At 37.1% G+C, this 15031-nt stretch overlaps 1 protein-coding gene across 9 annotated transcripts in view; it reads right to left on the bottom strand.

The window, feature by feature from the left end:
* Window positions 1–15031, bottom strand: part of NKAIN2 (sodium/potassium transporting ATPase interacting 2) — a 1021776-nt gene that overhangs the window by 31313 nt on the left and 975432 nt on the right. For all 9 annotated transcript variants that reach the window (XR_007059213.1, XR_007059215.1, XR_007059214.1 and 6 more), the window contains one exon: window positions 2929–2989. Coding sequence is in view for 6 of the 9 variants with exons in the window: in NM_001300737.2 (NP_001287666.1) it covers window positions 2929–2989 (61 nt within the window). In the remaining 3 variants the exon portion in view is untranslated. The remainder of the gene's footprint in view (window positions 1–2928; window positions 2990–15031) is intronic.

The following is a 15031-nucleotide window of genomic DNA, read 5'->3' as shown; positions in this document are numbered from 1 at the left end:
TTCTCCAGAATATCAAGTGCTTTTTTCTGGAGGTGTCCAGGTCGGAGAGGGGCAGGGGTTGATGGAAAACAGGAGTCTTGTGTTCAAATATTTTGGGAGACTTGCATTAACCATACTTTTAATTTCTATAAATTGATGCTTTAACATCTACAAAATGACCACTAGCTGTTTCCAAGTAAGCCCTGGCTCATCCCCAAAAAGCATGTGGAGATTTTAGATAGCTCTAAACCTATGCATTAATAGTCACAGTGAACATGAATTTCATGGGGCGCAACTTTGCAACATAGCTAACCTATCCTAATAAGCCTTCCTACCCTGCCTCATCCATTTCTTCTTGTAGGATTTGAACTAAAGGTTCCACTCTCTCTCTGCCTCATGGCTGACCCCACTCCTTCCCATGTGGGGCATGTGGTATTCTCCCCGGGGAACTGTGGATATAATCAAGCCTTAGAACTCTTTCTGGTTTTTCTCTTTGATCTGTATCTGGCCTCAAGGTAATGTGATTAAAACAAAACTGTGGGTTAGAAAACAAAAAAAAGGACATACTTTTTTCTGGCAGTACTCTCAGAAATGTTAATATATAAATGTGCATTCTAAATTTTCAGTGTCAAACTTACTTGGCTTTGGAATCTTTTTTTTTTTTTTTTTGAGCAGTATGTCTTGTGGAACTAGCATTTCTGAGATTTCCTTTGAGAGGTGCTATTCTGCTAAAATACTGATTATGCATGTAGGAGACATGGTATGTCAGTAAGTATTGTCTGAAGATAAAAATGCACTGGTATCATTGTGAAATGAAATCAAACAACATAGCCCAGAGAAAGCCCAACTTCCATATGAAAATCAACTGGGGACTTCCCCTTCATCAGGGATTTGGCACACAGACACTGAATGGTAATATCTCAATGAACTTACATAGTTTGTTTGGTCCACACATTTTAAAATCCGTATATATTTTGCCTTTCCTAATCTTTGAATAAATCTTTTCTGTATAAGACAAGTGCTTACTGGATGTCTTCTCTTGTATAGGCGCTAGGTACCTCAAACTCAACCTGTGCAAACTGAACTAGTGATCTTATTCCCATTTTTCTTCGCAAGTGGCAATTCCATCTACCCATTCACTTGCATCAGATACCCAGTAATCTAACAGTCTCCTCTTTTTCCCTTATCACAGTACCCACCATTGCCCACTAATCATGTCATTTCGGCATGTCTCATGGCACATCTATCCTCTCTATCTCCAATACTGATCCTTGTCCAGATTCACATTATCTCATGTCTCACTTTCATGGTGTCTTAACTAGTTCTCTTTTCCCTAATCTTTCCCCCTCTTGAGTCTCTTCTTTATAATGATGCTAATGTATTTTTTCTAAAGTACATTTTTGATTATGTTAATCTCTTTTTATAAGCTACCTGCTCTTTCATCTGTGATTTTATTATATAAAGCCCAAACTCCTTAATCTTCATACCCATTTTTCTACTATCTCACCCATACTTGTTTTTCCAATTTTCTCCAGCTGTCTACCTGTAGCACAGGAAACAAATTCAGTCACATTAATCTGGCCGTGATATGCTTTTTCACCTTTTGCCTGGGACCACCCCTCACTTCCATATCAGCTACACAATAAAGATCTATTCATCTTTCTAGATCAAGCTCAAAACTGTTCTCTATAAACCTTCTCCTGATCTCTTTCTTCTCTTTACCCACAGCGTGCACTACACAGTTTCATACTTATTTGCTCATATGTTTGTTTTAACCTCCTAGTTGGCAAGTTCCTACAGGTAAAATATTATGTATGACTCATCCTAAAATCTCCAAAGGCTGACACAGCACTTGAAATACTGAGGAATATTTTACAAATGCTTATTTAGTGAAAGGACCATTATTTCCTTTTATATATGAAATAAATTATATACTGTATACTTCTGATTTTAGATCATGTATGAGTACGATTGAAAAGTGCCTCTTCTACATTAATCACTTGATATTGCCTCTTCCTTTCCAGTATAATTGGAAAGGGAAGAAGAAACAGATATTTATCTTTGGATGTTTCCCTCAAATCACCATATTCTCACCTTCCTCTTTCCTTACTGTTTCAAAAACCCAACATTATAAATATTTTTTGAAACCAAGAAAGATGATTCCCAATTCTGATTTTTCCTCAGAGTAAATGTAACTATATAGGCAATTATTCATGATAGTACCCTCAGAGAATAGAAGTACTTTCCCCAGTTCTCCTGTTTTAGATCCTTAGGGGCAGGGATGGAATGAAACCTTCTACCCTCCATGTTTCGGAGAGCAGAGAACAACAGAGCCACTGGGAGGATTGTAAGAGGGTACTGTGATCTAAACTCTGGATCAAGCAATATGTCTCAATGTTGAGACTTTGACATAGTTAGAGTTCTAGCCATTTGTGTCAAATAGTAGGAACAAAAAGGACAGATGGACATTTGATTTCCCAAAGACAAATTCTCTGAATTAATCTGAAGTCAGTTTTTATAAGAATCTTAGCAACTATTACAAATTGTTGATTTTGGGGATTTGTAGTCTTGGGTAAAACTGGTTAGTTATCAATACCTAATAAAGGGATCATAAAAAAGAGAATGGTCAAGTTAGCCACATTTTAAAATCATTTCCATCTCCAATCTCCCATCTCTGTTCCCTACTAGAATTGTTTATAAGAGGAAATGATTTTTAAAAGGTTTTCAATGAAAAGAAAGAAGTTATGTTTTCAAAATGGGTGCTTCTCCATTCTTCAGTTTGCTGGATACTGTTATGAGAAACACTTTAGTCTGATGGGCACAAAAGGCTTATTTTCCATTCTAATGCTGTGTTGTAGGATCTTGTCTGAGGAATAGGAAGGCTAAGTAGGAGGCAGTAAAGGAGATGCTTTGAACTTGAAAGAAACAGAATAGAGCTTTAATACTTACAGCTGTCCTCTTCTTCAGTTATACATTTCACAACATAACAGGCGTAGATGAAACCTGCCAGCTGAAACAAAACAGAGATGCTTTAGACATCAGAAAAAGGCACCAACACCAGACCTCACTGGAGAGTGGCTTTTCAAAGTCAGGCAGTTTACAACCAGACTTAGGGCTCCAACCAACATGGCTCATCGGACTGGACCTTGACTTCAGTGTGGATTCCTCATTCAAATGATGCTCATCTGTGTTGTAAATACATATATTACTCTGTTTTTCTCTGACCTGCATTTATGTGTAAGATTTGATAATTGCCAGGCAATCTAAAACAAATTATTTTCAATACAGAAAAAGACTTATAACCATTCACTAGTGGATTAACATTTGCATTTGTGCCCATCAACTTCTAGTTTACTTTTCATTAGCTCAGAGCCTACGATTCTAAAACTTGGACACCCACAGACCGTCAGAAAAACGCTTTGAGGGAAGACATTAAGGTGATTCTGTGGTTTGTTGCATGGGTTCTTTGTAAGGAAAATGCAGATCTGTAACAGGAGCCAGGGCATACTGAGTATAATTAAGACAATATGTTACAGAGAAGTGACGAGATGGACACCTATAAGTAGGGAGTATCATCAAAATGCATTGAATATGGCATTACACACGTCGCATCGTCTTTTCTGAAACACTACAAAAAGGTCTGTGTGCTTGTAAAGGAGCACAGCAAAGTCACTTGATCTCTCTATTTTCTCAGATTGGGTGTTTTTGTATTCCTTCCTATTAGTACAATATTTACTTAGTCAACTTATGAGCGCTAGTCAAAAGAAACAAATATAATATCTGGATAATGGAAAACTATTTGTTTTCTTTTTTTGCAAATTGATCTAGTTTGGAGGAATCCTTAAAGGTATGTCCTCAAAATAGTGATGAAGATTATTCACAATGACATTTCAGACAGGCATTGATCTGGCTGAGGACCGACCCCACACAATAATATTCAGTGTGGGGAAGAAAACATTAGGAAAAGCTGCAGTCTTCAATCAGGAAGCAAAAGCACGGGAAAAAAAGGAACCGCCACGACAAGCCTAATGAAGTTGTTTTTCATTAGATGACAGATAGTGATCTTCTGGAGGATGTGAGTGGAACATTTTAAGTCAAAGGGTACACTAATAGGTATTTAATGAGCACAGAACTGTTAGGAGACAAAGTGGCCTCTGGTGAAAAGAAACTTTTAAGTCCCTAATTTGGATTTGAGAGAGAAAGCACGTTCTGGCAGATTCTAGCTATCTTCCAAAAAGAACTGGCATAGGATAAAACAGTGGTCATTCCTGGACAATACAGGAAGCAGCAGTGCCCACACTGGGGAGGCAGAGTTGAAGGAAGAAGACTTACGCAACACAGTCTTCAAACGCTTTTGTTTTTAGATCCTGGAGGAGAGGGAAGGCGTACCCCCTGCCCTCTCTACCCCCAACTGTAGTATCTGTACCAGTACACATCTTAGAGAGTCAAAAATAAATACCACTGATGCTATATCAGAAGAATGAGTTTTCTTTTTAAAAAATATTTTAGAAAACTCATCAAATCAGCATGTTTCTCTCTGAATTATATGTAACTATTGGCAATAAGATAGTGATAGTAAGAACCACTTCTTTATATAATAGAGTCATCAAGGTCTTTGTTTTTTTGGGACTTATTTTTAGAGTTCCGAGTACTAATTAAAAACCAATGTCTCCTATTTTCCTGTTTGGCTTTAGCAAAGATTTTGATTTGTCCAAACTCAAATCACATAGTGATTTGAGCATTTTCATGGGTACTGGAAAAATAGAGATTATACTAACACATCATGATCTTTTATCCACCAGGACCCATGAAAATGCTCTTTTTATGGAGTGAGCCAGTGCCATGGGTGCTTGTCATTGGTACTTGGATCTGGCTGTGTCTAGGTAAACGGCCTATGGGTTTGGTTAAATCCCCTTGGTATTGCTTATAGCTTCACCTCTTCCTCCACATTGAGTTCTTACTATATGTGGCTAAATGTTACAGGTTTATCAATAGTTTTCCTCTTCTTTTCAGTGTTAAATGCTTATTAAATTATTTGTAAAGCAATTTGTCCTAATTACAAACTGTTTTAAAAAAATTCTTACTCATCAATTCATTTCTTTGAAATGAAAATCTAGGTAACAAGCATCGATACATTCTGAGATTCATGGCCAATAAGTTTAAACTTCTCATTAAAGTGTCACTAGAGTCTTGATTATTAAGTGTACTCTCCCAGAATGCAGCTAAGGCAATGCACTGCACTGCATTCTGCTTACCAGTTATCTTTTAATTATATTCATTTTCATTCTTTAACTATCTGGGGAGCTCCTTTGATATAAAAGTAAATCCTGCTGCATTTTGTTACAAAAGCTTGCTGATTAAGAGAACTTTAGCTTTTAAATTGGTCACTTCTAACTACAAATGGAAATTTGTGTCCCCCAAATTAACCAAGATTCATAAACTCTGCTATCTTCCAATTATCCTACACAATATAAATTTCTAATTTAATTTTACCTCCCCAGTGGCAATTTATAAAATTTACCTATAGAAAGGGGTTTCAGATTATTTCCCACAATTCTGAATGTCTCTGATATGGTTTGGCTGTGTCCTCACTCAAATCTCATCTTGAACTGTAGTTCCCATAACCCCCATGTGTTGTGGGAGGGACCCGGTGGGAGGTAATCGAATCATGGGAGCAGTTACCTTCATGCTGTTCTCATGATAGTGTGTGAGTTCTCAAAAGATCTGATGGTTTTATACTGGACTTTTCTCCTCCTTTGTTCTCATTCTTCTCCTTGCTGCCACCATCTGAAGAAGGTCTTTGCTTCCCCTTCTGTCTTGATTGTAAATTTCCTGAGGCCTCCCCAGCCATGCTGAAGTGTGAGTCAATTTAACTTCTTTCCTTTTTAAATTACCCAGTCTCGGGTATGTCTTTATTAGCAGTGTGAGAAGAGACGAATCCAATCTCCTATAACATGCAACTCTTCTAATTGCTACCTGGGCTACAATGATGAACTAAAGCAGATTTCTAGTCACCACTGACATTTTGGGTTGGGAAGCACTTTTTTATTGAGGCTGTTATGTGTTGTCAATGTTTAAACAATAACATCCTACAATCAAGACTGTCAACAATTGAGGCAATAAAAATATCTCTAGACATTGTCACATGCCCTCTAAAAGGCAAAATTTCCCCTGGTTAGAGCCATTGTTTGAAATATAGTCCTAGCTTTAAGGAGTTTGCAATTTTGTAGCAGGTATACATATAACTGTAATTTGAAGTCGATTTAGGTAAATCTTCAGAAAGAAGGAAGAAAACTGTACTCCTAATAAGTGACAACAAACAGTAGATTGGACACTTTCATGTGTTAGCCCATTAATCCTCTCAAACACCCTTGGAAGAGCATTATATGTATTTTTGCTGATGACAGGCAAAATGGAATTTGCTTTTCCAGAGTGAGATTATCAAGCAGGAAAGATAGGGGTTGTGTTTAGGTAAGAGCCAGTAGTCACATCTGATAAGAGTTTGGGGACTTCATACTAGAATAATGGAAGCAAAGCTGTGAAGACCAGATTAGGGCCATAATCAGTGGGCCTCCAGTGTGTCAAATTGCCAATGGAACTATGCCATTTTTCTACACAATGAGCTGAAGGAGCACCCCCTACAAAAGTATAACATTTTTCATGGGTCCAAATCCTTCCTGATGTGATACTTGTCTTCCTTTCTAGCCTCATCTCTCACCAATCCTTGTCAGAATTGATGTCAGTAGAAAGCTGTTGGTAGCTTGCTGACATCTATCAGGTAGCTTTCCTTCTCTGTTCCTTAACTCATTTTCCCAGTCTGCCAACAAAGAATGCTAATGCCCTGTACCTCTTCCTTCCCCTCCCTAGTCAGCCTTGCACCTCCAGTAATGAGTAATTCTAACTCATTCTTTTTTTGCATTTGTTTTTGAAAACAGAGTCCTGAGTTGCTAAGCTGGATATAAAGCTTTACATGGCAGTACTGCCTGCTTACTTCCCGGGTCTTCTTTTTAATTTTTTAATTCACTGTTATTTTAAGTTCTAGGGTTCATATGTAGGTTTGTTATACAGGTAAACTTGTGTCATGGGGGTTTGTTGTACAGATTATTTCATCTCCCGGTATTAAGCTGACCTTAAAGAATGAGTTAATATCCATCAGGAAAAACAACTAATGGACACTAATTCATTCTTTAAGGCTGAATAAAGGTGCTGCTTCCTCCAAGAACTGGTAATCCATTCTCGGAGTAGGTTGGTGCTTGGCACTTTTGAGATAGACCTTGAGAGGTGGGAGGGCTTGAAATGGAATAAAGAGGGGTACGGAGAGATGGAGAGTACATCTTCCAAGTGGAGTTTAGACTAGAGCTGGGAAGAAATAGGGAGGAGGAAGTGGCCCAGTTCAGAGAAGCTTGGGCTGTATAAAGGGAAGTAACACGGCACAAAGCAGATAATAGAGGCTCATGTTGTTAGAGTAGATATGAGTATCTTCAATTGAAAGAAAATAATTTTATTTTGTTCCTGATTTAAAGATGCTTAGAATAATAATGGAAGGGACCTGTGGCATTATCCTAGGCAAACACACAATTATCCACTAGTGAAAGAAATAAAATATTCTAGTTGTTTTAGTCTTTGTCATTCAAAGCAGAGCTAAGTATAATTTTTTTTTTATTTATCTTTTCACCTTCATGTATCTAATGTGATTTGTTCACTTCTAATTCACCTGGTAAGGAATTACATGTCATCTTGATATTATCACTGACTGGAAGGAAATGATATTTTCTCTGTATAACTAAATCAGATTAAAATTCTTTTTTGTATCCACAGACCAAATTATGATTGTATGTCCCAGAAATTCACTTAGAAGCTAATAGAAAAAATGAAACCAAAGCCTTTTGGTAAGTATTTTAAAAGATTTAATTGTAATAATTGAAAATATAGCAACCTTAGCGTTTAATCTATTACATTCTGGATTTCGGTTTCTGGGAAGTTGGAGCAATGGGAAGGATACCTTTCCCTATCTTTCCTATTAAGTATAACTAAAAACTCTGAACATTATATATATAACAATTACAAGAAGACTTTGAGGCAGACCAGCTATGGCCTTTGGTACTCAAAAAAGTACATGAGGGTGAATTCCATTATTATTATTATTTCATATACACCAGACTTACTTGGAGCTGAAGAAGCCTATAACTCTGAAATGCCAACAGGTACAGATTTTTTAAAAGCCCCAGTAAACCCTTGCTGTCTCTAGCCAAAAGACCAGAGAAAAGGGAAAAGGCAGCCTAGCAAGACAGAAAATTTTACAGTGATAGTACCTCTTTGTTTTAGCCAACACCATAGAAAACAGAACAAAACAAAACAAAAACACAAAAATTGTAGCCCCACTCCCCAACCACAGCAACAAAGAGTAGGGAGCCAAGACTTCCCCACTGCCTCATGAGTAAGTAATCCAGACTTTTAGCCTCACTCTCCAGTAACAAGGCAGACACTCTCTTCTCCCCACTGGGGTGATGTCAGTGGAAGCTTAGTAGAAGATCAGGACTTTTACCAATGCCCAGCAGTACTGAGGCCAGTCCGCCACCCCCATGGCATCAGTGAAAGCCACCTTGGAGCAGTAATAAGGCTCTTGCCAGATATGGAGCTATCAGTCAGAGGCTAGTGGGGGGCAGGACCTTCCACAGCCTCCCAAACTTAATGAAAAGCCCTTCCCACCTTAAGTCTCAATGGAGGCTAAGTGGGAACCCTGGACTTCTATCCCCAATTGGCAGAAATAAGTCAGCATCCCTCCTTCTCCCATCAAAACAGCATCAGAGGAATCAACTAAAATGAAAGGTTTAATTAAGATCTAGGGTCTCATAGCATAATACCCCAAATGTCCATGTTTCAATTAAAAATTACTAATCATACCAACAGTGAGGATGGCCTCAAACTGAATGAAAAGACAGCCAATGTAACCTAACCACAGAGGTGATAGAGATGTTAAGATTTTCTGACACATATTTTAGAGTAGACATCGCAAAAATGCTCCAATAAGCAATTACAAACATGCCTGAAATAAATTAAAATATTAGAAGGTCTCAGCAAAGAAACAGAATATATAAGGAAGAACCAAACTGAAAACTTAGAACTGAAAAATGTGGAGGTGACAGAGGAAAGAATCAGTGAACTTGAAGATTGAACAATAGAAATTACCTAAACTAAGAAACAGAGACAAAGTAAACTGGAAAACATGCACAGAGCCTCAGAGACTCATGGAAATAACAAAAGACCTAACTTTTTTTTCCCCCACTGGAGTCCTGAAGGAAAAGGAGAAGTAGGTCAGCACTGAAAAAGTCTTCAAAGAAATAATGACTGAAAACTTCGGAAATTTGGCAAAGGACACAAACTTACTAATTCCAAAAGCTTAGTGAACCACAAACAGTATAAATCTAAAGAAATTCATGCCAAGATGCATGACAATCAAACTTAGGAAACCCAAAAACAGATATCTTGAAAGCAGAAACAGGGAAACATTTATGGACAGCCATTCTGGAAAACAGTTTGGAGGTTTCTTTACAAACTAAACACGCAACTACCATATGATCCAGCAATTGCACTCCTACACAGGAGTGCAATTTTATCTCAGAGAAATAAAAACATGTTCCCACAAAAACCTGTACACTAATATGTATAACATCACTATTCATAACGCCCCAAAGTGGGCGCAACCCCAGCGTCATTCTGTGGGTTAATAGTTAAACAAACTGGTATACCCATACCATGAAATATTACTCAGCAAGAAAAAGGAAGGGATGACTGATACATGCAACAGCCTGCATGAATTTCCATAGAATTGAGGTTAGTGAAAAAAAGCCAACCCAAAAAGTTGTATGTTATATGATCCTAGTTGTAGAACATTCTTGACATAATAAAACTGTAGAAATCGAGAACAGGTTGGTGGTTTCCAGGGACTAAGGGGGGTGGGTTAGAAGGAAGTGAATGTGGCCGTAAAAAGGCAATATACGGGATCCTTGTGGTGATGAAACTGTTCTATGTCTTGACTGTATCAATACCCAGATCCGAAAAGTGAAGCTGTACTAATTTTTGCAAGGTAATACTATTTGGAGAAACTGGGTAAAGTGTAAACAGAATCTCTCATTTTATTTCATATAATTGCATATGATCTATAATTATCTCACCATAAAAGTTTACTTGAAAAATACTACATTTTAGGACAGTTCTATTTATGTTTAAAAACCTTCATATTATAATTTATGAGTTATAAATATATCTAAACCAAGTAGATATGCTTGTTTTCTTAAGTACAAAGACACATTTTAATTTTGTGCCTTTATGCCAACATGATTAGAAATGAGGAGTAGCAACACTACTTTTTACCCACAATTATCTCACATTCCAAATACATTGGTTGTATGTTTTATTTAAATTAAATAATCCAATTTTGTTCTGAATTCATAATTCATAGGCTCTAAGCCCATGCTTTTTGTAATAGGAATTTGAACAGAAGGATATTATGCACACACAAAGTATAATTTTAAGTTGCAGATGATTTTTACTTGCTCTTTTTCATCTTATTCCATCTACATAATTTGAGATTGCTTCAGCAAAGGATTCAAATGTGATTATATCAGTGTTATTAATGAAGGTCTTTATATGAAGTATTTTATTATGTGGGCTGGTATATCATCTGTATTGTTTACCAGATGATTCTTATCTCATACTAATCCACTGGCTGGACTATTGTGGAACACACTGCAAATTTTCTCTGCTACGAGTAATCCAGGTGCAGTTATCAACCTGCAATAACACATGGAGGATTGCCTCCAGGGCTATTGTGAATGTTCACAGCCTACTGGGTCAGAAAAGCTTTTCAGAGGATCAGAAACATATCTTAATACCAGCCTTTAGGTATTCTGCTGCATCATCAAGCATGACTGTATTAAACACTTTTTAAAAGATTAAATAAAACTAGACATACATGCAAACTGGTATTATCTATTTAAGTTGGGAAATAGACTGAACTAAATGCCAACACTGGTTTACCAAATCATTCCTGTTATGAAATAGTCTCTGGAAACTGGTAGATTTCTTCAGTCCAAACTTATCAAAAAGTTATCCTAGTTCAGAGGAGTCTGGTGTATTAGTAAACTGGGCAGAGCAGAAGATACTCAGGCAGGACGAAAGATGGCTAATAACATTCAAATGTCATTATGGTTAATACCTCTCTCAGGGTTTACATATCAGATTCGTTTTTAAAACTGTATTGACAGCAGTAGTTCAACCATTCCATACATGTGCCGGTTGGGAGATGATCAAAGAAATGGCCAATCTAGTGCAATAGAACTACCATGAAATCGCCTTCCGGTTTAGAGATAAGAGCCATAGGGGAGTCCTTAACCAAAACTATTCATTGAAAATAATTGGGAAATGTAAAAAGCAACTATCAATAATACCATACTATTTTAATGGTAAAGCTAAGTTTAAGATTGTATGTTTGTAATGTGCAAAAGGAACTCTGATTTATTCATAATGAATCATTTGAAGCAGAAAGTGTAATTTTTAAATGTTCTGTAAAATGTACACAATTAATACTGTCTACAGAATTTTTGAACAAAATCACTACATAGCTCTTTGGGGAGCAAATGGTACAAGTAACATCATTTTTGATCAGAGATAATAGGGTACCAATAGCAAAATTAACTATACAAAAGGTAAGGCATTTGTAAAAATAAATTTGCCCATATTGAATATTCTCTAACATTAGTAGACAAGGCTAAAGAAGGATCCATGAATTTCACTGGAAGGAGTATGCTGCCCCAGTGATGACAATGGGAACACAAGGCCAGATTTCTCTGTAGAGACTAGGAGAGAAGATTATTTGTATTAAAATATTTAGTTGCAAAAATAACTGGCATTAAATAGGTGCATTTGGAAAAAGAAAGGGGCTAAAACTACGTTAACATTTCCTTCTTTTTAGAGGTACTAGATTGGAAGATAAGGAAAGTGTGGAATATACAATGCACCTGAGACTTCAGCACATATCCAGTGATCAAAAATAATGCATTGATTAATATTATACAAAAATGATGTCAGTAGTACTCTCATTGCACTAAAAAAGAAACAGTTAAACTCAACGGAAACATCAGGACAAACCAGCTAGAGAGAAGAGTGACTTTAAAATGTTATCGTAAACTCAGATGCATTATTAGGGTTTTGAAAATACAGTTAAGTAGGAACCTTAGAGCAATTGGTCCCTTTCCCATGACATCTGTGGGAATAAGCTTTATGCTTATGAAAAGGTATTTTATGTGGCATCCAATAAAGCGTGCCTCTGAAGCAAAGTACTTGTTGCAGTATGTGGCAAGGAAGATGAATGGGAGTGAAGGTAGGAAAAGAAAAAGAACCCTCCAGGGGAATAAAATGTGGATTGGGGAAGACACAAATTTGAAGACCAGTTTTTTCCCAAAGCAATTTTAAAAGGCACAATACTGAATCGAAGTGTCACTTAAAAGGCCCGTCAAGTCTATCCATGTGTAGCAGTATAATCTAGTTGGACTGAATAACTTTGGAGTCAGAACTTGGCTATAATTGGTGTTCTTCACTGACCCTTTCTTCCTTTCCATCTGAGTTACCTTCTTTTCAATATAAATCTTAGATTGTCTTCTTTCTACGTAGCTCATAGCCAATGCAAGGGTGAAACAGAATGTCATAAACCTCAGACTGAAGGGATTTCATTAATTACTAGCAATACCATTATTACCGTTTGGGAATATATAACCTAGGAAAAAGTGCAATTGTATTTCTGTGCATTACTTTTTTATTTTTAGTGCTTAAACCTCAAAACCAACCAATCATCTAACCAACCCCTCACATCCTGGTAACAGCTGGGAGGTAGGAAAGGAAATGCCAGTGATTACTATTTAAAGTAATAGCTGCCATTACTGTTCACTATATTCTGGGCATGTGGTAACATCTTTACAGCCATTCTGCTATCCATTCTTTCCAAAACTAAGGAGATAATTTCTATCATCATCTATTATTTATAAATGAAAAAACTGAGGCTTAGAGAAGTTATATAGTGCTCTCCCAAGATTCAGACATAATGAGAGGACTTGATTCATGCCTATGGACCCTAAATCCTATGCTTCTCATTTTCACACAGTCTTCTTAGTTTATCCAAAAGGCAAAACTGACAATACTCTCAAGCAAAGGGAACATAAGATTCTAATAATCAGAGTGAATTCACATTCACTTAAAAAAAAGTTAAAATTAAGTTCACCTAGTTTTCCAAGTCGGAAATCTGGATACAGATGATAATACTGAGCTTTGAATTAGCAGAGCTTGGAAATCATCAAGAAACAAAGTGGCTCAGCTACCAGACAAATCACAGAGGAGTTTAATACTACTTGTGGGAAACCTGGAGCATGTAGGAGAATGCACATGCTCCTCCCACTCATTTAATTACCATTTCAGTGGTTCCGACTCATCATGATTTTATAGTTCTCCTCTGAATTGCTTACACGTGCTTCTACACACCAGCGTGGGCTTCTTATGTTAGACATATATTGGTGAGTCACTAATTGTCTTCAGTTTACTGCTGGTGAGCAAGGCAAGTCTCATATCAGGTGGAGAGTCAGATGGATGGGATGATTCTAAGAGCTTGAAAATCTAAACGATAACTCTTTTTGCTCACAAGGTAAAGACATGATAGCAAAGTGTCGAAGGACATTCATGATTGGCTCAAGCCTATGCTTTCAGCCCCAACACTTGTGGCTCCCCTTTACTCTTCCATATTAAATCTCTGGCAGTTCCTCTACTATACATGCCATGCTGTTTGATATCTTTATGTTTTTGAATAAGGCATTTCTCTGTCCAACAAACAACATTTATCACCATATAGTGAATGCCTACATGAAACATGGGCTACTTCAAGGCTACTCCTCAGGGAAATATTTTCTAAACACCAAAAAGCACAGATAGGCATTCCTCACTCTCTGTGCTCATATAGCACCCTGAGAAATACCTATATTGCACAACTTAATTCATTTTTGCATATTAATTCTTAAACTGGACTACTGGACTATCAGCATTCTCTAGAGTAACCAAGAATATTTCTACTACCCCCGAAAGTTCCTTCTTGGCCTTTCATCCTCACCACTCTCCCAACCCTTACACCACCCACCAGGCCACACCTGTTCTGATTTTGATAACCATAGAATACTTTTGCTGGGTCTTGAACTTCATACAATAGAATCTTATTGCTTGGTGTCTGGCTTCTTTCACTGAGCATAATATAATATTTTTTAGATTAATCCAAGCTACTGCATCTAACAGTAATTCATTGTTTTATTTTCAACTGGCGTTCTATCAGTATGTGAATATAATTTTATCACTAACTTTTGAGACATAACACACCAAACCAAAATTTAGTGGCTTAAAGTAACAACCATTCATTTTTGCTCATTGTGTTTTAGGTCAACATTTTGAATTGAGTTCAGCTGGGCAGTTCTTCTGCTGAATTTGGTTGGGCTCACTCATGAGTCTATGGTTGACTGTGAATCATCTGGGTAGCACTTTTTTTCTGGGGCTTGGCTTATTGTTAGGTGGGGGTGATGAAGTCAAATAAATGGACCCCATATTTGTGGTCTCACATATCTAATCATTCATCAGAATAATCTGGGCTTGTTCACACTGGTGTGGCAGGCTTAAAGAGCAATAATAGTAAGGTGCACTTCTCAGGTCTCTGTATGATGTTTGCTATCATCTCAATGTCAAAATCAATTGGAGGCCATTATAGCAAAACTCTTCCAGGATGCCACAATTTATTTACTTACTCATCTGTTAAAGGACATTAGGCTCTCAAGGATTAACTGGTTTTTATTTTCAGTTACTTCCAATCTTATATCTTGAACCAACTCATTTAAATAATTTTGCTTTAGGATTTCATGATTAAATAGTGACAGGAGGACTTCCTTCCTTCCTTCCTTCCTTCCTTCCTTCCTTCCTTCCTTCCTTCCTTCCTTCCTTCCTTCCCTCCCTCCCTCCCTCCCTCCCT

The sequence above is a fragment of the Homo sapiens genome, chromosome 6 (genome assembly GCF_000001405.40).
Source record: "Homo sapiens chromosome 6, GRCh38.p14 Primary Assembly".
NCBI lineage: Eukaryota > Metazoa > Chordata > Mammalia > Primates > Hominidae > Homo > Homo sapiens.
The sequence above is the reverse complement of the archived record's forward strand: the minus strand, read 5'-3'. Positions and strand labels throughout refer to the sequence as shown.